General features: G+C 38.3%; 1 protein-coding gene across 5 annotated transcripts in view, besides 1 other annotated feature; it reads left to right on the top strand.

Annotated features, from left to right (window-relative positions):
- Positions 1-25,549, top strand: part of CTNNAL1 (catenin alpha like 1) — a 70,923-nt gene that overhangs the window by 37,113 nt on the left and 8,261 nt on the right. For 4 of the 5 annotated variants that reach the window (XM_017015250.3, XM_005252291.5, NM_003798.4 and 1 more), the window contains 6 exons: positions 3,554-3,712; positions 5,893-5,985; positions 10,859-11,009; positions 20,560-20,597; positions 23,893-23,943; positions 24,024-24,178. In XM_017015250.3, the coding sequence (XP_016870739.1) occupies positions 3,554-3,712; positions 5,893-5,985; positions 10,859-11,009; positions 20,560-20,597; positions 23,893-23,943; positions 24,024-24,178 (647 nt within the window). Of the gene's footprint in view, positions 1-3,553; positions 3,713-5,892; positions 5,986-10,858; positions 11,010-20,559; positions 20,598-23,892; positions 23,944-24,023; positions 24,179-24,520; positions 24,608-25,549 lie in introns of all 5 variants that reach the window. The other variant, XR_007061368.1, reaches the window with a different exon arrangement.
- Positions 23,512-24,711: an enhancer, noted in NCBI's record as "CDK7 strongly-dependent group 2 enhancer chr9:111713956-111715155 (GRCh37/hg19 assembly coordinates)". NCBI's record gives its function as "activates an origin of replication core promoter dependent on BRD2, BRD4, P300/CBP, MED14 and CDK7 cofactors, with strong dependence on CDK7, by STARR-seq in HCT116 cells {active_cell/tissue: HCT116}" and the evidence as "EXISTENCE:reporter gene assay evidence [ECO:0000049][PMID:35650434]".

Below are 25,549 nucleotides of genomic sequence, written 5' to 3'. Positions count from 1 at the left end.
TGAATTTTGGAATAATTCTACCAAATACTATTCAGTAATAAAAGAGAACAGTATTGATACATGCAACAATATGGATGAATCACTAAGACATACTAAGCAAAAGAAGCCAGGCACAAATGATTATATGTATAAAATTCCATTTAGAAAAAAACAATTCTAGAAAAGGCAAAACTAATTTATAATGACATAAATCAGATCAGTGGCTATCTTGGGTCAGAGGTTGGGGTATATTTACTGCAAAAGGGCATGGGAGGACTTTTTGGCATGATGGAAATGTTCAAAATTAGTTGTTGTGATTACATGGCTGTATATGTTCATCAAAACTCACTGAACAGTATCTTTAAAATGGGTACATTTTGTTTTATATCAATTCTATCTCACTGAAATAAATTTTAAAAGATATTCCTTTGGTTGAGAGGGTTTCCCTGTTCCCTGAATAAAAAATTGGTCATCTCATGACTTAGTTGGCCACTCTCAGGTTATTGAAAGTCCTATGGTCACTTTAAGTCAGGTGTTCACAAACTACAACTGGACCGTTTTCGTCAGTAGAGTGTATGGGGACACAATGCTGCCCATCTGTGGACCTACTGTCTACTGTTTTCTCACTACAACAGCAGAGTTGGATAGTCACAATAGGGCCTAAAATATTTACTCTCTGGCCCTTCACAGAAAAAGTTTACCAATTCCTGCTTTAAGTCACAAAACATAATCTCAGTTGAAAATTAGAATGTTAATCATTATTTAAATCTTCATTTAGTTGTAGAGCTTCTCCCCTGTTCCCTGTTTTCCCAGCTCCAACTAGATAGAGCTGGGAAGATGTGGTCTCTTCTCCCTTTTTCACTTTCCTCACCCTCCGTTACGTAGCTGTTGTTGATTTTTGTCAGGTTGTGGCATAGAGAGAGAAGAGAGAAAGTTGAGAGGCAGAAGGTTTTTAGTGACCAGCACCCTTATCAAATGGCTTTGGGCTTGGTAGACATTTACAGTGGACTCTCACTCTCATGGATACCTTAGTGGTTCTTCAGAGGCTTTCCTGTTGCCCCCCCTACCCCCACCCCTGCCCCTCAACCCCTTTATCCTGTTGCTCCCTGCGCTTTGAGGCATGCCTGGAGGAGGGAGTCACAGTGGGCACCCAGCAGCTCTCCAGACAGACCCTCCTCACACAGACCTCTCATTTCCCTTAGCTGTGCTTTCTTAATTCTTTTATTTTTATTTATTTATTTTTTTGAGATAGAGTCTCACTCTGTTGCCCAAGCTGGAGTGCAGTGGCGTGATCTTGGCTCACTGCCACCTCTACCTCAGGGGTTCAAGCGATTCTCATGCCTCAGCCTCCCGAGTAGCTGGGATTACAGATGCACGCCACCACGCCCAGCTAATTTTTGTATTTTTAGTAGAGATGGGGTTTCACCATGTTGGCCAGGCTGGTCTCAAACTCCTGACCTCAAACGATCCACCTGCCCTGGCCTCCCAAAGTGAGCCACTGCACCCAGGCTTAATTCCTTTATATTCTTGAAGACGGTCAAGGGCTCAAGACAATGAAATTAGAATTTTAAAAAAATTTTCTTATTTTTGAGATGGGGTCTCACTTTCTTGCCCAGACAATGGTGTGAACATGGCTCACTGCAGCCTTGACCTTCTGGTCTCAAGTGATCCTCCTGCCTCATCCTCCCATGTAGCTGGGCCACAGGTGCATGCCACCATGTCTGGCTAATTTTTTGTAGAGATAGGGTCTCACTATTATAAGCTCAGGCTGGTCTTGAACTCCTGGGCTCAAGCAGTGTTTCTGCCTTGGCCTCCGAAAGGGCTGGGATTACAGGTGTAAGCCATCATGCCTGGCTGAAATTGGTTTTTGGATGTTTCTTATATAAATTTTATACGTGGTGATCTGTTTCACATCTTACTTGGCACTGATATGTCTATTGAAATCTCCATTTAAACATCCTGTTAAACATAGAAAGACATGGTTTTCTATGCTTTATAAAAAGCCTGCTGCCCTTGACACAAGGAAAAAAACAAAACAAAACAAAAAAGAAAGAAAAAAGCCTACCCATTTCATTCCAGACTATTCAGTTTTAACCAAAGTATTGTTAAAATCCTGACTGTCAGTAGAAGATGATCTCCTTGTGATAAACTGAGTGGCTTTCCACAGGCTTCATTTTCATTACCTCTTATATGGGTATATCCATGTCAACCTCATAGAATTCTTGTAAGGATTAAGGGAGATAATGTATATAAGGCTGCTGTCAGGACGTTGCATAGAGCAGGAACTTTGCGTTTGTCCTGCCTCCCTCTCTTACACGTGACAAGAGTTACATGACCTTGGCAAGACACAGTCTCTGTGGAGCTGTTTCGTAGTCTGTAAAATAAATGACTGGCATTAGATATTCTCTAAGGTCCTGCTGGTGAAACAAAATCTTTTTAAGTTCTTATGTGGCATTTAGTTTCCACGGAAAGTGAATTTTAGTTTCTTTGTTTCTAACTGTAATTATTCTCACTTAGTTGCATGAATGCAGAGGGTATCCTATTGTTAATTTTGGAGACAATCCTCTAATTTGAATTGAGATTGGATTACTTCCAGGAAAAAAGAAATCACTTCATTCAAATAGATTTAATTCAAAGTCAGATTTTTCTGAGAACAATGTTATTAAAAATGATCTATTTCTGGACAACCCCAAAATAACCTGTCACATCATTAAAAAAAAAAAAAAAGGCAAGATAAGAAGAAAAGATTTTGGAGTTAATAGTGTCCAAAGATATCCAGTAAGAGTGAGCCAGGCATTCCACACAAAGTCAATAAAACCATGGGGTTCGTGTTACCCTTTAATCTATTGTTTCTCCTGGGACCCAATTTGTTCATAGAGGCAGAGAGTACAAGATCTGGATGGCAACTATAGACAGATTCTAACCTCCCTGAGGGCAGGGGTTGTGTCCTACTTGTCATGTATGCCCAGCCTCTAGTACAGTGCTACAGTGCTTGCCATGATATAGGTATTTAATAAAATTTATTAAATTTATTGAATCTCACATTGGTACTTTTTCAAAAGTATGCTAAAGAACTTATTAATGATCACAAAGTGCCAATTTTCTTAGTACTCTAAATATTGCACTCTTAATACTCTTAATACTGTTTCATTCCTCACCAACTTTAAGATTAGCAGAAGCATTTTTCACCTAAGGGAAAAGCTACATGGGAAAGAGCTGGTTGATAACAGAATGAAAAAGGGACAAGGGTATTCAGCCATTGAATACCCAGTTCATCTTCTAGAAACAGCATTACCACTGGCACCAGGGGGTTAAAGGATGAATTAGATATCACTCCTGCCCTTGAGAGAAACTGTAAGCTCACCAGTGCTACACAACTCCTACTGTTACACAGGGAACTTTACACCCTCCCCTCAGTGGAACCCATGGAACTGCTTTGCGGCTTCTCTTTATTAATAGTTTTTAAAGTGCTGATGTGGTGCTTGGTCACAAAATGTTATTGTTTGTTTTCTTTCCTTCATCACCCTTCTCCTTCTCCACCCTCCCACCCCCCCACCCACACACACATCTGCAGCTTCATAGTACAGCGACACAGCTGGCAGCAGATCTATTAAAATACCATGCTGATCATGTGGTTCTAAAAGCATTAAAACTTACTGGAGTAGAAGGAAATTTAGAAGCTTTGGCTGAATATGCCTGTAAACTCTCTGAACAGAAAGAGCAGCTTGTTGAGGTGAGTAAACAAGGTGCTAAAGAAATTGTAGTTTAATAATGGCTTTATTAAACTATGTGGGAATGTTAACACAAATACAGTTTTGGGTTAATTTATCTGAGCATTTTCTCTCTCCTTTGGCATCTTAAAAGCATACCATGTATCTGTTCTGTTCCTGCAACAGTCTGGCCTCTAAAACAAAACAAAAAAAATGCTAAGACCCACAAATGAACTTCTTAATCTTCTTTTCCTTATCCTCTCAGAGAAGTTAGACCTTGGAGTAGAGCCATGGAGGTACGTCGTATGACCTTGTTTCTGTTTGAATCTGTCAGGGTCTCAGCAGGGAGGAGATGACACACTCAAATTAGGACAATTTGAAGAGAGTTTAATAAAGAAGCTGTTTACAATTGCATAGACAGGGCATGGGGGAAACCATACATGAGAGAGCAGTAATTGGGGCGAGTGGTAGCAAGGCTGGTACCACCCCAGGCCCACATCAGCAGGGGAATGTGGAATGGGGAAGCCTTTCAGAGAACTGCCTTGAGAGGTTTGTGATTTTAGGACTAGGCCCAGAGACAGCCCAAGGTGACCCTCCCGGGAGGAGCATGGGAGTCAAGGCCCATTCTCTCCTCAGTCCTGCTCATCTGTGGATGGGGCTTCCCATTGGATATCCCATTAGGATAATCCTAATAATCCAAACATAGGTGTAGACAATATAAGTCAGTCTCCCAGGGCAAAAGGCAGATGTGAGAAGGGAGGAGAGCAGTTAAGGAGGGACAATGAGAAGACATCTGGCACATGATTCCAAATCTTAATTATGAGTTACTGATGCTTCACCTGATACTTGTGTTATAATTCCAGTTAGGCTTATTAATTGATATTCTGAGCCTTCTGCCTATTGAAAATGTCAGATATCTACTAGAAAAAAAACCCAACTGTATTAGTCTGTTCTCACTCTGCTGATAAAGACATACCCAAGACTGGGTAATTTATAAAGAAAAAGAGGTTTAATGAACTCACAGTTCCACATGGCAGAGGAGGCCTCATAATGAAAGCAGAAGGCAAAGGAGGAGCAAAGGCACATCTTACATGGCAGTAGGCAAGAAAGTATGTACAGGGGGGGAACTCCCATTTATGAAATCATCAGATCCCATGAGACTTATTCAATATCACAAGAACAGTATGGAGGAAACTGCCCCCATGATTCAGTTACTTCCACCTGGTCCCGCCTTTGACATGCGGGGATTATTACCAATTCAAGGTGAGATTTGGGTAGGGACACAGCCAAACCATATCAACAACCAAACAAAAAACGGAACCCATGTATAGCTTGTATGTATGAGGTATTTGCTAGCCAACATGTGTATAAATGCACAGATATGAACCATCTAGCTATCTTCACATAATCTAACATACCCTGTTCACCAAATCTCAAAGACTAATGGTTAGAAGGAACCTTTAGACTAATTGAACTGGCTTCCTCTTCTTTACTTGTTTACATAGGAGCCAAAAAACTTCTGGGGGAACATTCTTAAAATGACTGTAGATATAGCTTCTTCATTTAATAAATTTGATGCTGCTATGTTTATAAACCAAATATTATAACTATAGGGAAACTGCTTATTTTAGGAATCTTGCAGCAAATCTTTTTAACATTGAAAAAAAAAATGTTCTCTGATTTTCTGTTTTAAGCGTCAAGATTTTCAGTAATTTCCTCTGATATAGGGTCTGTCCTTATTATACCAGTCTGCCTAATCCAATGTTAGCTCCATTGGAAGACAGTGTTGATAGAACATGTAGCTTGTAGTAACTCTGACATAGTTTAGCTGTGAGACCTTGGGCAAGTTACTTCTCTGAGCCAAATTTCTTTTTTTTTTCCCAAATTTCTTTATATATAAAATATGTGGGCACTACTAGGTCTTTCCAAAGGTTCTTTCTGTTTTAATATTCTGTAACCACCTTGCCATGATTGGATAGGAAGTAGAAACAATGTTATACCTTTATTGATATCTGCTTTGTTCCCAGAGAATCTGTTGGTGACCAATATAATATTATAATAATCTTCTCAGTAATGTTTAAGTTTATTTTAATAGGTTTTAAGAAATTTTATTTGTAAAATTTTCTTTTTAATTATAAAATGATACTATGTATTGTGGAGGATGAGGATGTGAAAGTTAAACTGTAGACATATTGTCTTGTAGACCTGTCGATTGTTACGACACATATCTGGGACAGAACCTCTGGAAATAACCTGTATACATGCAGAGGAGACATTTCAGGTGACTGGCCAACAGGTATGATAATAGCAGATTGCTCCTTCTGTATTGTGTCCTATCTGAGTGTTATAACAAGTTGTGTGGATGGAAGGTATAAATGGTTTTTCATAACTAGAGTCCAAATATACATAGAGAAAGAAAGATAATGGAATTTCTGTTGGTAGTGTGCCAGAACATGGCTAACCTTCCATTGGAGCTGGTCATCTGCCAAATTGGAGACTGGTTCATTTAATTAATACTCTAGTTTATATCTATTTTAAAGGAAGCTGTTTACAATGCACTTGTTATAACATGTTTGGAGATTAAGTTATCATGACATAAGAAGCCATATGTTATGTAATATTCACATTTCAACCTAAGATTCAAATACATTTCATGCTAATAATTAGGACATGAGACTAAAACACAAACAAAACAATGTTATGACATTACTTACAAGATTCAATTGGGACCAGGCATGGTGGCTAACACCTGTAACCCAGCACTTTCTGAGGCTGATGTAGGAGGATCGTTTGAGTACAGGAGTTTGAGACTAGCCTGGGCAACACAGCAAGACCCTCTGTCTACAAAAAATAAAAAATAAAAACAAACAAACAAAAATTACCCATGTACAGTGGTGCTTACCTATAGTCCTAGCTACTCAGGAGGCTGAGGCAGGGGGATAGCTTTAGTCCAGGAGTTTGAAGCTGTAGTGAGCTATGATTGTGTCACTGTACACCAGGCTGGGTGACAGAGCAAGAGTCTATATCTGGGGGAAAAAAAGATCCAATCAGAAGCAAAATAACTATCTTAAATTAGGCAAATAGTACATTATAGTGTTAAAATAATAATTATGATAACCAGAATTAGCAACCACTGAAAGAATGTTCTGTTCAATGTTAAATGAAAAAAGTAGGGTACAGATTTGTATGTATACAAATTATTCCCATAATTTCATATGTATAGAGAATATATACATATGAAAATACCTATATGACAATATCCTTGTTTAGCTAGGGTTTTTTTCTGGATTTTCTATAGTAGAGGTATTCATTTGTCCTTATAATTTTCAAAAGCCTTTTTAAAACTGATTATCTCATTTAATACTGTTCCTGTCAAATTAATCTAAGGAAAATGGTTAAAGACAGAGCTTCCTCCTTTTTTTTTTTTTGAGACGGAGTCTAGCTCTGTCGCCCAGGCTGGAGTGCAGTGGCGCGATCTTGGCTCACTGCAACCTCCGCCTCCTAGGTTCAAGCGATTCTCCTGCCTCACCCTCCTGAGTAGCTGGGATTACAGGCATATGCCACCACGTCTGGCTAATTTTTTTATTTTTAGTAGAGACAGGGTTTCACCATGTTGGTCAGGCTGGTCTGAAACCCCTGACCTCATGATCCCCCCGCCTCGGCCTCCCAAAGTGCTGGGATTACAGGCGTGAGCCACTGCACCCAGCTGTTTCCTTCTTTCTTAGAGTCTAAGCTCTAAAATAACGTTTTGCAGTTGTTCTTTTGTTTATTTTTTTAAATATTATTTATATTTTAATTTATACTTTATTTATATTCATTTATTTACTGTCAGCCAAAAGGATTCCTCCTAACTTGCAATATTGGGCAGTAGAGGTTGAGTCCCTGCATCTTTGATTTATAGCTGAGAACAGTGCAAGTGACCTAGACTCAACGATGGTGTGTGCCCTCTAGGAGAATCATGTTGGATGTTGGAGGGATGATCTCATGCTCTCCTGTAGAGAACAGTGTCAAAGGCTTATCATGAAAGCAGGAACTATATGAATGAACCTCCACAATGATTATCTGCTGAACACTTTATTACAACCAAGGGATCTGTTTACTGGGAGAAACTGTGTCTTCAATATTGGCATGGGAGTCACTTTTCTTGCCTTGGCTGCAAAAGTATTCCAATAGAACTGGAGGGCTTGACTCTCCTGCCATATGCAATCAGTTGTTGCTCCTATCCTCAGGCCCTGCTTGCCATCTGGTTGCAATTTTTGGTTTATTGTTTTATTGCAGCAGAGATATTAGGAATAGCCATATTTTCTTCCCCAGGATAGTGGCAGAGCATGTTGTTAATAACCTGCATAACTTGAGAAGCTTTTTCTGTTCCCAAAGCCTTAGCTTCCACTCCTAGTCTTTGCCATCTGCCTCACAAAAGGATAATTTAAGGACATTGAGCATGCCTCTGGGATAATTTATTTCTGGATATCTCTGCTTTGGCAATGTTATTTTTATACTTCCTTTAAAATGTTAGACATACTGAGGGAACAGTTGAACAGTTTGTACACTAGTTGAGAGGAGAGCAATGCCAAAATCTAGCCTGTAGTCCATGGCAAGTTATGTGCCTGCTTTCCCTGAAGAGGGGAACCTTGTTCTTATAACACTGCCATCTGCTTGGCAAGTGCTGTGCCTGTGACACTATGCCCACCCCAGAGGGAGGAACAGCTAGCTGTAATTCATTCAAAGGTACCAACTATTAATATATTAGCTAACATGGCCCTGTAATTCATTCAAAGGTACCAACTATTAATATATTAGCTAACATGGCCCTGATCATATTAATCTTCTGTAAGTTCCCCAATGACTTTCTCACTCAGAAGAAAATCCAGTCCTTACCATCTATGCTTCTCCATTACATGGCCACTGGCCACCTTCCTCTTGCTCATGTCAGTCTGTTCCTCTGGCTTACTTGCTGTTCCTTGAACACTCCAGAAGTGTTTCTGCCCCATCCCAAATGACTTCCCCTCGATTTTCCTGTAGCTCCCTCACCTTTTCAGTGACTCTCTAACTTAAAATACTGTGACCACCTAATCCCCTCCATCATTCTCACCCTTTATTTTGATACATATTTTTATTCCCTTCTAAAATATTTTATAATTTATTTTAATTGTGTCTCTCCCACTGCTTGTTATAATGTGAGTCCCATGAAGCCAGGGACATTTATCTGTTTCATTCACAGCTGTTTCCCCAGCACCTGGAACGTGGGCACAGTGCCTACTAGTATGTAGTGGGTGAATGAATAGTCATGTTAGTTGTATACATGTGTGTGTGAATAATCCCATATAATCAACTCCATGGAACAACAACATCACTTGTTAGTAATGGGCATCTCTATCACATTATCCTATTAATTTCCCTCATAGCAGTTATCATAATTTATAGTATTTTAATTGTGTGCTTGTTTATAGTTCCAAATCTCCACTAGAGTATAAGCTTCATAATAGAGGGCTTTTATCTTCTTTTTTTATCACCTTATCCCCAGCACCTAGCATGATTTTTTCACATAGTGGATTCTCTAAAATACTACTTACTAGATGAGTATTTGATATAATATCCCCAGTCTGTGAAACAAGAAGGTAGACAGAATCAGTGCCTGTTGTCATGAATAGAAGGTGAAAGTGGTAGAAGGGAAAGGATCTGCTGTGAACATATCAAGACTGAACTCTGAATTCCTAGCTCCTGGATCTTTGTGTGTGTGTGTTTTATGTAATGGGCCATCAGGAAATTTCAGTAGGTTGGGTCTGGTCGATGGCTTCTATTTTGAGGTAGAAGCTAAAGTGTAATTTCTACTGAATGTCAGGTCAGGAGGTGTGTGAAGACTCAACCCAGCCATCCATTTTCTGCCTATATTACAATTAGCATCCATCAAGTCCTTTGTGTTAGAGAGTGATTATTATATGAAAGATAAAATGTTAGTTATTCATTAATTCATTCATGTAGTAGCTAACACTAAATAAAACCCCAAATGCCAAAATCTCAGGCTTAATATAATAGCAGTTTATTTCTCACTTGTATTAAGTCCTGATTAATGGTATGTCTTTCTCCCTCTTGGCAATCCGGTCCCCTTTCATTTTGTGCCTCGCTAGCCCTCAGGACCTCAAAGTCCCTACTGGAGCCTGTGCATTGAACCATCAGATGTGGAAGGGAGAGAGCACTGAGGGGCACGAGGGAGGTTTGGATCAGTTAGGATGGAAGTGGTGACCCACATTCAAGTGGGGACAGAACTCAGTCTCGTGGCCATATGTCTCCACCAGGGAGGCTGGGAAATGTAATCTTCCTATGTATCCAGAGGGAAGACAAACAGATTTTGATGAAAACATAGCAGTCTCTGCAACAATTTATTTATTTATTCAACACATTTATTTAGCCCATGTGGTGGTACGTAAAAGTACCAGGATGATTTCTGCCCTCTTTACAAGTGTTTTGTGAGTGGCAGTGTGATGTGATGGAAAGAGCCTGAACTTGGATCAGGTAGATCTGAGTTTAGATATCAACTCTGTGTATACTCGTAATAGGGTCTGGCACAAGTTACTGGGTATCTCGGAGCTTCAACTTTTCCAGCTGAAAAATGGAATAATGCTTATTTGGAAAAAGTAGTATTTTATTTGTATATTTTGGGGGATATTAATGTATTAATGTATCTCAAACACCAAACAGTATCTCAAGCATGTATCTACCAAGTACTCATGGGTGTGTATATATGTTACTTATTATTATCACTACCATTCCTACTATTACCACTGCTACTACCACCACCACTATTACTGCTACCTTTGCTACTCTGTATACAGTACACTTTTTGTGGTCTGAGTATAACTGTTTGAATTATTCTATGGGAACAACTTTGTTCAAACAGAGTTTTACTTGAGTGAAGAGAATTGCTCCCTGAATGCAGGTTTGTATATAATAATGCATACTATTTGTCTGCAGGTCAGATTATAAGAAACAGCAAATTTTGTCCTACTGTGCATCTTCATATTGCCCAACATGGAGCTTGTGTATAGAAATTACTTCATAGTTGTTTATTGAGTTGAATTGAACAGCAGACTTACTTACCTTTGGTCTTCAAAGTGATTCTGAGGGCTAAGATTTTGAAATTCACACAGGTGTATATTGTGTTTCTTTAGATAATTTCTGCTGCTGAAACATTGACATTGCATCCATCTAGTAAAATTGCTAAAGAAAACCTAGATGTATTTTGTGAAGCTTGGGAATCCCAAATTAGTGACATGTCAACACTGCTGAGAGAAATCAATGACGTGTTTGAAGGAAGACGAGGTGAGAAACTGTCCACATAATGAAATATGTTATTATTTTAATGTAACTCTTGTTAGTTTTTTAATGCCAAACCTCAACTGCAAATGAATTCTTGTCGTAACCCAGCTGGGTTATTTTTGTAGTAAAATATTGTTCACAAAAAAATTACAAAAATATTATTTTATCCTCCTTTATTTTAGTATCCAAGCAGTAAAGTTTGTTGTACAACAGTGTAGTAGGCCAGGTGTGGCGGCTCACACCTGTAATCCCAGCGCTTTGGGAGGCCAAGGCAGGTGGATCACTTTGAAGCCAGGAGTTCGAGCCCAACCTGGCCAACATGGTGAAACCCTGTCTCTACTAAAAATACAAAAATTAGCCGAATGTGTTGATGTGCGCCTGTAATCCCAGATACTACGGCTGAGGCACGAGAATCACTTGAACCCGGGAGGCGGAGGTTGCAGTGAGCTGAGATGGCGCCACTGCAGTCCAGCCTGGGCGACAGAGCAAGACTCTGTCTCAAAAAATAAATAAATAAATAAATAAATAAATAAATAAAACAAACAGCATAGTAGATCTCTGAATTAATATTAACATCCTAGTTTTCCTATTGAAATAGTCATTTTTAAATTTCTTCTGAATTGTTTTTTAATTATAATACAACAGCTCTTCTATAATGCAGTAATTCTATGTTTTAATTCTACTAACTTCATAATGAAATGAATGTAGTTATTTGATTTTTGAATTGCTTTCCTTCCACTTGGATGGAATCTCTTTCCTTGATGACTACATAATCTTGGAATATTGCCTGTGGTGGGTAAGTTCATTGGTATTTCTACAACATGTAGAATAGTGCCATACAATGTATAGGAAGGCATCATTTTTATTCTTTATTTTAATACCGAGTGGAAGTTTTGTTTATTTTCCATTGTACTGTGTGTCCTGTTATTTATATTTACATGTTTATATTTTTTCTCTTCAAATGGCTTCTGTAGTGTCAAAGCTTGCTTATTTTTTTAAATAAAATGTCATTTACAATTATATCAAATTACATATTTTTTATTGAGTATGCCCATTTAAACATTTCATATTTTAAAAATACTCATTTAGGATAAATGTTAATTTGCTTAAAAATCAGGGCATAATAGAATTATAGCTATAACATCATTTGTAAAGTATGATAAATGTTTACCATGCTTCCACATTTAAAAATTTCTGTGATAGTCTGAATGGCAAATCATTTTGATGCTTTGTATTTATAGTTACATAGATTTTCATATGAGCCAAATTTTGGATATTAAAAGGTAAATGATATAATTGATCCACTTTTAAAAAGAAGAGTGGTCACTTAGCCTTAGGGACTGTTGGGAAATGAAGAGAAGTGGCTTGCTGTTGTGATAAGATACCTGGTGTGGGTTATCCTGGAGTATCTGTAAGGCCCAGGTCTTTCTCAAACTGGTGTTAGGCAAGCTTTTCCCTGCTCCGGGCCCAAGTGTCCTTGACTCAATAATGAAAGTCTTAGGCTCAGTGATCTCAGTGACCTGTCAGCTCTAAAAGTCTTTTGTGAGCACTACCTGAAGTTAGTGTACTTTCGACTTCTGGGCATGAATATACCCTGCACTGTGTCTTTATCCTGGCTGGCTCTCTTTAAAGGCCAGAGGAATATTGTCTTCTGGCTTTATCAGTTGTCATCAGCCCATGACATCAGCCCAGTAGGGAGGCTGGAGGAGTGCCACAGGATGGCTATTTTTCTGGCATGTGACTGACTTTATGTACTTGTAAACGTGTTCCACGTGCACTGTGAGAAGCTTTACTAATAGCTGCAGCCATTCTGGAAAGAATATGGCATCAATCCTGGCCAGCTGATTCTCCTCTTTACCAGAACACCATTGAGCTTAGTACAGGTATCTCCTATAGTGTTTTCAGTGCTGAAGAGGTTTGTGTTTTCATTCTTGTAAACATGGGCTATGGCTGAGTTTTCATTACTTGTACTTCTTCCATGTCCCTAGGCCAGTGAGTTCATCATCATCTGAAATGGATATGGTTCTAGTTTTCTTGACCAAGGGCCTGAGCCCCCTTCCTCTTTGTGTTTGAGATGCTCGCAGTTTCTAAATCGGGCTGTTCTACCAGCATTTTGGTCTATTTTCTTCTCTCTTTTATTTCCATAAGAAGAGGAGTTATAACAGGCTTTTCCCCCCTCTCAAGAAAGATAGCAGTCATTTAACAGTTATTCTCTGCCTTAATCCCAGGCGATGTTCTGAGTAGCAATTACGGTAGCAATTAGAGGTTGATAAGCTTGGCAAGGGGGTTTTCTTTCTATAAATATAAGTAATTTTTTTCCTTAAAACAGAAAACAAACCCAAGTTGCATTTTCCATCAAGGGGTCTCTTCCTTCCTCTGAGATCTGAGTGCTAATCTCATGTTAGGGATAGAATTGGGTAGAAGTTGAAATACAGGTTCTGAAGTGGACTGCCTAGGTTCCAATCCTGCCTCTGCTATTTCCTAACTTAATCTCTCTATGCTTCAAGTTTTACATCTGCAAAATGGGGATAATGATGACAAAACTACCTAATATGGTAAGTGTGAAGATTAAATAAAATAAGTTAATTCACAGTAAATTCTCAACAAGTGTTACCTCTATCAGCATCAGCATCATGACCACTGTTACCTTGTGGTAAAACTAAATAGTTTATGAGAAAACATTAGGTCCAATTTCTCTTACTTAATCTCAATCTCTCCTACTTTCTGGCATCCATCTCTCCCTATGTCCTTTCTCCTACTCTAGGGAGGACTAGCCAGTCTGGCCCCACCGTAGAAAACCTCTAGATCTGCAGAAGCAAAGGTAAACTCCTTGCTTCTTTGTACAAATGAAGCTCATCCCTTCTCCAATGGTGAACTGACACCCTCTGAAAGATTCCTCTCACCGGACATCTAATGCAACATTAATTCAGTGTTCTCCTTTTCTGTCTCTGAGATTTGCCTTTCTTCTACCAAAGTTAGGCTCTTTAAAAAAAATAGCTAGGGAAGTTTAAGGAAAAGTAAAAGCCACAGGCTACTAGGGTCTTTGTGGGTAAAATTGTAAACATGATCCTTCAGAGGCCCGTGACTATTATAACCATAAAAATAATAGTAGCTGCCATCTCTTGAGAATGTACTGGGTTCCAGGTACTTTCATAAGTGCTGGATGTCCATTTTCTCATTTAATCCTCTCAGTAACCCTGGAGACAGGTATTATTTCCACATTTTATGAATGATGAAACTGAGGCTCGAAGTATCCCACAGTGAGTAAACTATAGGAGCTGGGACCCTTACTGAGGTTTGAATGATGCCAAAGATGAAATTTTATTAACTACCCATACTCTATTACTCAAGCAGTTAAACTCCACTCCAATCCTAAAGTTTTCTAATGAGAATGAACCAATTCTGTGAAAAATGCTCACAACTGCAGCTCTGAGTTCTGCTTTTTTCCCTCCCAAAGCTATTTCAGAAATGACTGAGAGATCCCAGGAAGTACAGGGCAAGGAACAAGTAATGACTGTATTCTTGTTTTGGTTGGTCCACTTATTGGCTGAGGATGGGGCCAGCTAAATTACAGAAGAGGTAAAACAATCTGTTAGTAATGGAATCCTGGGCACATTACCTGCCCTTTTGAGTTTGTTTCTTTATTTCAATGGATGTAAATGAAATAATGTGTAATACTGCTTGCACATCCTATGCCTGTTTTCAGACTATGTGAGCACTGTGGTTTCTTTTACTTTCAAGCTGGATATTATGTAAATAATCTCTTCTTTAGGTTCAGTTAACTTATGTTAAAAAAAATCAGCATTACCCAAACTTCCTAAGGACTGAACAGAAATTCCTTCTTACGTGGGAAACGCCTCAGCCTTCAGTCAATGAGACACTTATTGTTTCACTGGGAAAGTGCCTCTCTGTTCAGGAAGGGTTTATGTAGGTTTCACTGAGATGGAGTTGGTTGATTGTGTGTACTGCCTTTATTTGTCCTGATTTTTATCATGAACCTCATGAGCATAGCTTTTTCCTCAAAGAAGTCCATCTCTGGGTTAACCATTCTGACTGAACTGAATCCAGTGCCACAGTGTTGTTCTTCCTGTTATGCATGGTTGATGTGACAAACCTGCTCATTACCTTGCACCTGCCCACTGCTTTCCATACAAAGGTGTATTCTTCAGGTCCTGATTTCTCTTTGCTGCTGTTATGACTCCTGTTATGACTATTGTTGAAAAGCCTTTGCTGTATTCTAGCCACCTTAGTTCTGCTCTGCATAACTTGCCTCCTGTGATTGGCAAACTACCAGGCATACTTGTAAGTATCATTCAACCATCCAACTAAGTGGTAAACATCACGCTAAGCAATAGGAGGGAGGCTTTAGTGTTCACATGCTAAAAGTTAGTCTGAGACCTAGGTCATTGTCCACCTTAACCCCAGACACTGAAATTTCACACTAGGACCTCCTGGGATTGTTTCAAGAAGGTAAAAATCAATACTTGTCTTCCTGTCTTCTGCTTTCATCCCATTCTGCCTTCTCACCCAAACCTCCAGGGAGGCTGTGGTCCTTGTATTAGAAGGGACCACACCTAAAAGACTCCACTTTTCCTTAGTGGTGAATATGTGTCAGTTTAGAATTTGAGATTATTTTGGATAATAAGTGTCAGAAAAAAGCCTTATCTCAGAGCTTGCGGTCTCTATCCTTCCTTTAAGGAAGCTGAATTCCCTTTGTTCTATTTCAATCATTTCAGAGTAAATATGACTACGCTTCAGTTTATAGAGATGCAGCTCTAACTAAACTATGTAGGGCAGTTATGATCACAATCGTGCCAAGAATCTTAATTTGGTTTTCAGTTCTGTAACTACTTTTCTCATTTTCCTGGCAGCCCTATTTCATAGCCCTGCATTTACATTATCGTTTGGCAGATTGGATGCCACTAAAAATGGGGGTACAGGAAGATAAACATGTTCGTGGGTAAAGATGAGTTTGTTTGGGGATGGTAGGAGCCTGCAACAAGGGAGTGATCTATCCAGAGAAGAGACGATGGTCTATACTAGGGTGATGATAGTCAAGATGAAGATAAGGGGACTAAGAAGAATTTAAAAACTAATATTGGTAGGGTTTATTGGTCAATTGAATATAGAGGTGAGGGAGAGGGAGGAGTTGGAGGATGATAGCTGGGTTTAGATTAGAATACCTCATTCCTGCTCCTGAGTTTAGCTGATAAGCTGCCTATGCTTTAGTGGTCAGGGATTCATTTTAAGTGGGTCTGGGGACATTAATTTTTTGATTGATCATACCATATAGAGTGCCTCCAGAACTAAAGATAGCTAATTATAAGAAATGTGAATCAGGGATAATTTAGCACATTTTCAGTGAAATGATAAGGCTTTTCCATTCTTGGGGAATTCGATTTATTTTGTAGATATACAGAAAGGCTCTATATATTGTAACTGAGAACATTTCTCAATTAGGTTTTCATAAGAAATAATTTTAGTGCTCCCTTAAGATGAGAGGGCCTTTAAACTTAATTGTGAACTTAATTTATCTGAAGGTATAAACTCAGAAGATGGCACAATTGTAGTGTTGACTAAACAGGATTTAGGGAGTATTAAACATACAATACCTCGTTGAGGACAGTGCTTTGAAGACAATTCTATATATCAGATCTGTACTAAGTATATTTTCTCCAAATAGTCCTGTTTTTCCAACTATTTTTAATGTTTATAATATGATAGAGTTTTGTTTATGCTACTTCTTTGATATAACAGCTAAACATAATTTAGCCAGTTTATTTTATTATTATTATTATATTTTGGAGACAGGGTCTCACTTTGTCACCCAGGCTGGTGTGCAGTGGTGTGATCATAGCTTACTGCAGCCTCAAACTCCTGGGTTCAAGGGATCCTCCCACATATCTAGAACTACAGGTGCTGGCCACCATGCCCAGATTTTTTAATTTTTTTCCCCCAGAGATGGGAGTCTCGCTGTGATACCCAGGCTGGTCTTTTTTTTTTTTTTTTTTTTTTTGATATGGAGTCTCGCTCTGTCACCCAGGCTGGAGTGCAGTGGCGTGATCTCAGCTCACTGCAAGCTCTGCCTCCCGGGTTCATGCCATTCTCCTGCCTCAGCCTCCCAAGTAACTGGGACTACAGGCGCCCACCACCACACCCGGCTAATTTTTTTTTTTTGTATTTTTAGTAGAGACAGGGTTTCACCGTGTTAGCCAGGATGGTCTCGATCTCCTGACCTCATAATCTGCCTGCCTCAGCCTCCCAAAGAGCTGGGATTACAGGCATGAGCCACCATGCCCAGCCTACTCAGGCTGGTCTTCAACTCCTGGCCTCAAGTAACCCTCCCGCATTGGCCTCCCAAAGTGCTGGGATTATGAACATGAGCCACCGTGCCTGGCTGAGCCAGTTTATTCTTTTTTTTTTTTTTTCTGCTTAGAATCAACGGCAATAATTAGATTCACATGGAAATAACATCTATAATTAGCCGAGCGTGGTGGTGTGCACCTGTAGTCCCAGCTACTCAGCTACTCAGGAGGCTGAGGCACGAGAATCGCTTGAACCCAGGAGGTGGAGGTTGCAGTGAGCCGAGATTGCACCACTGCACTTTAGCCTGGGTGACAGAGTGAGACTCTGTCTCAAAAAAAAAAGAAGTGGGAAATAACATCTATAAAAAAATTGGGAAATAACATCTATAATTAACTATAATTTAGATCTCTTGTTAGTATTAGATTGCTTTTTCTTGTGTTATTGTCAACTTGTTTGGTTTCTGTTGGAACTGGGGGAAAGAGGAAGAATCTTACCTGCATAGTATGTGGAGGAGGCCTATCTGAAAAAATGATCAATTTTGCAATTATCCTCAAATTCGTATAAATCATGCAGAGTCTAACTAAAGGATGGGAATAGGAAGCAAAACAAAGTATCTGTAAGAGGACCAGAGGGATTAGAACTATCAAGTGATAAATACTACTAGGTGGATGAAAATAGTAGCAAATCAGGTTACATAAAAGCTTTCTTTTCATTGGATTTATTTCTCAATGCATTTATTTATACATTCTACTTGCTTTAACTCTGTGGTATCTTAGAGATATAAGAGATACCGAAACAGTTGGTTTTGCCCCAACTTGTGGAGAGTAAATATGAACATTTTAGGGCCATGGGCACTATAGATGATTACTAAGTTAGATAATACAAGATTACTCCTGTAGCTGATGACATTTAAGTAATGATAGTGCCCTTTCAAAATTCAAAATTCTTTTTTCTTTATTATTTATTTATTTTTAGTACTTTCCCACTTTGTTTTTTTTTTTTTTTTTTTTTGAGACAGTCTTGCTCTATCACCCAGGCTGAAACAAAACAAAACAAAAAACAGAAAAAAGAACAGACTACAGGCATGCACCACTACGCCTGGCTAATTTTTGTATTTTTAGTAGAGATGGGGTGTCACCATTTTGGCCAGGCTGGTCTTGAATTCCTGACCTTGGGTGATCCACTTGCCTTAGCCTCCCAAAGTGCCAAGATTACAGGCATGAGCCACCATGCCCGGGTTCCTACTTCTGTTTAATGTGCCCTTTATAATATGCTAAGAGCACTTTTTAAAGGATATTATGGACAGGATTCAGACTTTGAATTAAGATAGATGGTGAATTTTGAAATTCTGAGTGACCGGAAGACTATCTTCTGTTAATATTGCAACTAAATCGAGCACTTTTCACATCAGAGCTTAGAGCCAAGGCATGAAAATAGCCTCTTCCTTTTTAAGTTTTTTCCCCTCACCATTCTGAAATCAGAAAGCCATTAATTAATAAAATTCCCTTACAATTTTGACATTACAAGGAAATGATTTGAATCATAAAGCTATTCCCAAGTACCATTAACTCACTCTTAGTAACAGTTCTTCTTCTAGATCAGCACTGTCCAAGAGAAACAGAACGTGACACACATATATAATTTGAAATTTCCTAGGCTAGGCACAGTGGCTCATGCCTGTAATTTCAGCACTTTGGCAGGCCAAGGCGGGAAGATCACTTGAGCCCAAGGAGTTTGAGACCATCCTGGGCAACACAGTGAGACCTCATCTCTTAAAAAAAATACAAATAAATTAGCTGGTGTCACATGCCTGTGGTCCCAGCTACTCAGGAGGTGGAAGGTGGGAGGACCACCGGAGCCCAGGAGGTTGAGGCTGCAGTAAGCCTGTGATCTCCACCACTACACTCCAGCCTGGGTGACAGAGCAAGACCCTGTCTCAAAAAAAAAAAAAAAAAAAATTCTAACAGGCACAAGAAAAATTAAAAAGAAACATGAAATTTGTTTTAATAATTTTTAACCCAAATATCCAAAATACCATGTAAACATATAATCAATATTTTAGTATATAATCAATATTTTAAATTAATATATTTTATATATTTTTTCTCCCTTTGTACTACATCTTCAAAATCTGTTATGTATTAAACACTTGTAAGTGTTTAATACACTTACACATCTCAGTACAGACTAGCACATCTCAGTACAGACTAGATGTACACATCTCAGTACAGACTAGCCACATTTCAAGTGCTAAGTAGTCACATGTGGCTAGTAGGTTTCATATTTAATAGTACAGTTCTAGATGAAATTTTAAATATTTGTATAAGCCATTCTGAGACAAACAGGTTTGCCCATTTCCTGTAATAGTCATTCTATGAGAAAAGGTATGATTTAGTGCTCTTATATTATGTTTACTTTTATTAGTTTGGACCATATGAAATTTCAAAATGGTTGAATACCAGCAATTTCATATGGTTCAAACTATTCTATTATAGCTGAATATACTTGTTTTCCTTGAAGAAGAAATTTTTCTTCAAGAAGCAATTACTGCTTAGGTCTTGAATTTTTACCTCAGATGTCACAAACCAGCATTTATAAAAAGTCTATTATTCATTGTAATCTGACTGTATACATGACCTGGAAGTTGTAAAGATGATAGATGGGGCAGGGATGATGTGGGCATTGCCCGTCTCCTTCCTTTCCTCGTTATCATGCTTCATGTGACGTGTCAATTCACAGTCAAAAAACCTCCTGTTATTTGCTTTATTTCATCTTCCTATCTTGTACAGAGGGTTTTCTTCTTCCCTGACTGAGAGAATACATTATGAGGTTAGTTGTAAATTATTTGGTCTGGTACTTGCAGAAATGGAAGAAGCGCTGATACTGGTACTGATAAAAGAGGAATCAGGTTTCATTAGAGGCAAACTGCTGTAAAAGGAGCACTCTGTGAATGAAGCTGATTGCAAGTGGCAGTAAATGTCAGTGGGACATTTGCCTTTCTCCCTTAATGTTGGGAGAGGTGGAGATTGACCAGCATAGGTACCTTAGACATGCAGCTGTTGAAAGTCTTCATGTTCACCAGCCAAATTACAATTTTATTTCTGAATTTTATGTAATGAATAGACTGTTATCAAAACTAATGTACTAACATTCCTGTTTGTTTAATTAATACTTTAAAAGTTAACTATGAATAATAGAAAAATATATTAATAGAAAAAATTTTTTAAGTTATATGTGTTATTTGTAGGAGAGAAGTATGGCTACCTTTCACTTCCAAAGCCAATGGTAAGTAGAAGAATTATGTACATTGCAGAATGTTTTTATTCAGAATTCAAATTATGCTCTTGTTGCCTGTTGCTGCTCCCCTCTACCACAAATAATTGACATGACAGAAAAAAGTTAGGATATTAATGTTGACTTCAGAGTTGTTATTCTGGGTAGCAATCTAGTTGTGGCTTACACTCTGAATATTTGTTTTAGGTTTGGGGGTTTGAGAGAATAGGTAACATAATTTGTGATTAATAAAAAGCCATATCCCAGTAATAGCATCATAAAAATAAATAAATAAGCCATATCTGAAGTCAGAAGTTGTTTTGTTCTTCCAATCTTGGATCTACTTTGAGAAGTCATGTTGGAATCACTTTCAGCAAACTAAGGACTTTCATATGCTTTCTACCTAGATGAAAACATGTCACATGTCATACTTATGGGAAAGAGATACAGAGTGGTATATTAACCAAGTAGTGGTCCCAAGATCCCTTTTGGGGGACAAAAATATTGGAAATTGTGGGCTGGGCACGGTGTCTTATGCCTGTAATCCCAGCACTTTGGGAGGCCGAGGTGGGTGGATTACCTGAGGTCAAGAGTTTGAGACCAGCCTGGCCAACATGGTGAAACCGTGTCTCTACTAAAAATACAAAAACAAAACAACAACAACAAAAAAAATTAGCCAGGCGTGGTGGCAGAGGCCTGTAATCCCAGCTACTCGGGAGGGTGAGTCAGGAGAATTGCTTGAGCCTGGGAGATGGAGGTTGCAGTGAGCCAAGATCGTGCCACTGCACTCCAGCCTGGCCAACAGAGTAAGACTGTCTCAAAAAAAAAAAAAATAAAATTACTGATGATTATCAATAGTAACAGTGTGGTGAAGAACAACAGATGGTGAGTATCAGAAGAGAGAACTTGCAATGAAGAGAGATATTAAAGTCTTAAGTCTGGAATTTTAGAAATGATAGTGGGAATGCTTGATGGTGTAGGGGAAGAACAAATGATAAATCAAATCCCCAAATCAAAAAATGGTCCAAACTTAATTAGTGTACTTTTTGAAAAGGGACTGGCATTTAATACTGAAATACAACATTAGGAACTGAATGTAGCTGGTGTAAAAGCGATCATGATACTGCAAATTAATTCTGTGACTTAAAAAAAACAGTTTTTGTGCCTTAAGCTATTGTCAGAACAGTTTGAAAGTACAAATAGCAATTTGTCTATTTTTGTTATTTTAAGATAACCCTAACAGATGGTTTTATAGCTAATATCCTACTGGGTTTAAGCAAGTAAGGATAGACTCACTGTTTTTGTAAGTGCTATAATTTAGGGCTACTACAAAATAATTTTTTGAGAATTAGAAAAGGCATCACAAAGCTTTTAACAGGTTGAATGGAACAAAGATTTTATTCAACTGAATAGTATTTTTTATCTTTAGTAACAAATCATTTCAGAGTCATGAACCATTTTCTTAGTTGAGGGATAGCATAGCTAATTATATTCCTAGAAAATTATAGTTCTCTCTTTTAGGAAGTGAAGTTGGAGTCTGGTGCTATTTATATTTAGGGGACTGACGTCTTTTAGCTTTATATAACTGAAACGAATGAATCTGACTGCATTCCAAAATAGTGTCCACTAGATGGCAAGCTTGGTTACATTATTAAGATGGTTTATTTACCTTTTCAGGCAATTCCATTTCAGTCGTCATTAAACTTTAATAATCATCATCATTAGTAAAAGTAAAAATAAAAATCATGAAAATGCAACTATATTTAAAAGAATAATATAAAGTATAAAATTCTGAATAAAACTAAACCTAAAAACCTTGAGGGTGTTCCTTACTTTCTTAAATGTTTTATCAGTTGCCTTATAGTCAACTAGACCAAGGATGGAGATAAAGATGATGTGACCATTCAAGGAGGAGCCAGAGAGATCATTGGTCATATTTGTTTATTCTCTCTCTCTCTGTCTTTGTCTCTTTCTCTCTGTGTGTGTGCATGTGTGTGTAACAAGAGTTCCTTTATTTTTATTTTCTGTCCTTCAACTTCACCTGTTTCTTTAATAGTAAACATCATTAGAAAATCTCAAAAGGGCTATGTTCCATGAGCAGATCTAAACTCCACGAGGCTGTTTTGTTCTGTGGTGAAACTGGTGACAGAATAGTTGGTCAGAAGTAAAAAGTCATGGTAATAAGGGAAATAAAAATATATGTATGAGAAGATCTTTTTCCTTAAAGTATTAGTGATGATTTTCCTTCCTAAGCTAAGTGTACACATGAGTGTTTTGTTTTATTGTAATTTATACTGTGTGTGCAGGTATGTGAATCCATACCCAATGTGTGTTTGTGAGTGTGTATGACTTAAATATATGTTTCCATTGTAAAAAGTTGGCCCCCTTTTCTCTACAAACCCTAGCTGTTCTGGGACTCCTGCCTCTACCATGGGAGCTTTCACCAGATCTCAGAGTTGGAGGAATCCCCTCTGTGGGCTATCATCTCCAGAGAACTTCGGAATATATTTTTCAAAGAAATGTTGCTATTGGTGGTGGTGTGATTTGTCCTGGTACTCTATTCTTCAAGTATACAGGCATCAGTGGACTAGCCTGGTCTAACTAGGATGGAATATTTTCTCCCCTTCTAGGGAAAATACACTCTGAGTTCCAGATAGTTTACATGAAAACAAACTTTCTCTTTCAAAAATAGGGAACCATTGAACATTGGTTCACATATTAAATTCAGAATCCTAAGTATAATCTCTTTATAACTTGGGATATGAGATTAGCAGTTGTGATATCTATGAAGCTAGAGAGTTGAAATTTAGCCTTCCAAGAGCAAATTAGTTAAAGGAATTGAATTCTGGAGTCATAACATAAGGAATGTATAGAAAACTACATATAGTGGCTAATTTTAATATATCATTTCATAAGAATAATTCAAGCATTATAAGAATCTTGTTGAACAGAGAAGCCAGGGAGGTTTGGGGGACATAATAATTGGACTCCAGGAATACTGCAGAAGTTGTCTTGAGTCCCTGGAAGCCCTTGTGAAAAGAGGAGAGCAGCTGTAAGCACAGAGGCCACAGAGCAGGGAAGGCACTGACTTGCTTTCTCTGGCTCCAGATTTCAAACTAACAACCTATTCAAAGCTGAACTCACTTACTAGTAGAGTACTTGCAATTGGTAAAATATTCAGTCATTACATACTGAATATTTTAAACTTTTGTTACAAGTACTTTGTTATGCTTTGTATTACTATTGTATTTCCTTACAGTTTAATGTACTGCTTTTTAAGATAATCTTAATCTTTTTATTGTCACAGAAGAATAATGCAAACCTGAAATCATTAAAGCCAGACAAGCCTGACTCTGAGGTAAGACCAATTCCTACATCTAATCTTCCTTTAACATGAATAGTGATAAAGTCGTTGTGATTAAAACGTCTGTTTCATAGGAGCAAGCCAAGATAGCAAAGCTTGGACTTAAGCTGGGTTTGCTCACCTCTGACGCTGACTGCGAAATTGAGAAGTGGGAAGATCAGGAGAATGAGATTGTTCAATATGGACGGAACATGTCCAGTATGGCCTATTCTCTGTATTTATTTACTAGGTAAATGTAGTTGTATTTTTATTTTTTAAATCAGTATAATGATATCTGGTGTAAAGAAAAAAGTTCCATGTTAAATCATTGACAGGTTAAAGTCGGTATCAAATATATGGTAAAAAGACTAAAAGTAGTTACTATGACAATTTACGTAAGTGAATGCAACAACAAGACACATGTATTTAATTAGGATTTAGATTTAGAAGGGATCTTCTGCTAGGTTTCTGCCCACTCTTTCCATCATTGAAATAATTTTACATCCTGCTTTTTTGTTATCCTGCATTGTTAATGCCTCTCCCAGCCAGCATCAGTACGTTAAGAAAACATGTCTTTTATGCCTTTATACAGTGATTGACTAGATACAGATGAAGATTGATTAGACACAGATCAAAGAATAGAGCTATGAGGACTATGTCAATAGCGTGCCAAATCTCTGTGAGTCACCATTCATTATGTAGAGAATTCCCCTAACTTTAATGTTATCTGACCTATATTCTCTGTCTTGATCATATTACAAGACTCTTGATCAAATGCCTTGTTGATGTCAATGTTAGTCATATTTCAGTCTTCCATTTTAGTAATTTATACATAAGGTATAGTAATTCTGCTTAGTTAAAATCAGTTATCTGCTCAAAAATCCCTTCTAGAATTTTCTCAAGGAATAACTTCAAGCTTTTCACTCAGTTTCTGAAATCTATCTTTTTCATTTTTGGAAACCTGGGAAATACTTGATATCTCCAGTTTTCTGGCTCCTGTCCTACTCATTCTGATTTTGGAAAGGTTATCCACCGTGGGACACACCTGCAGGTTGCTTCAGTATTCTAGAGACTGAAGCTCAATTAAAGTAGTGAAGGATCTCTACAACTGTGTGGGATTTGGGACTCAATAAATAGCACCCCCTGCCGGGCATGGTGGCTCACGCCTGTAATCCCAGCACTTTGGGAGGCCGAGGTGGGCGGATCACGAGGTCAGGAGATCGAGACCATCCTGGTTAACACACTGAAACCCGGTGTCTACTTAAAAAAAAAAAAAAAAAGTTAGCCGGGCGTGGTGGCGGGCGCCTGTAATCCCAGCTACTCGGGAGGCTGAGGCAGGAGAATGGCGTGAAACCGGGAGGTGGAGCTTGGAGTGAGCTGAGATCGCGCCACTTGCACTCCAGCCTGGGTGACAGGGTGAGACTCCATCTCAAAAATAAATAAATAAATAAATAGCACCCCCTATTCCCACCCAAGTTTTGAACAAAATGAAAAATAAGCAAAAGAATAGGTAGATGGGAGCTGGTAACATTTATATTGATAAAGCTGATATTGGAGAAAGTACTTTATGTCCATAGGCAATTAAGTTTTGAAAAATGATCCCTAGAATTACAAAGTCTTA

Source organism: Homo sapiens, chromosome 9 (assembly GCF_000001405.40).
Source record: "Homo sapiens chromosome 9, GRCh38.p14 Primary Assembly".
In the NCBI taxonomy this organism is placed as follows: Eukaryota; Metazoa; Chordata; class Mammalia; order Primates; family Hominidae; genus Homo; species Homo sapiens.
Note: the sequence above shows the minus strand (reverse complement) of the source record. Positions and strands in the feature narration are given on the sequence as shown.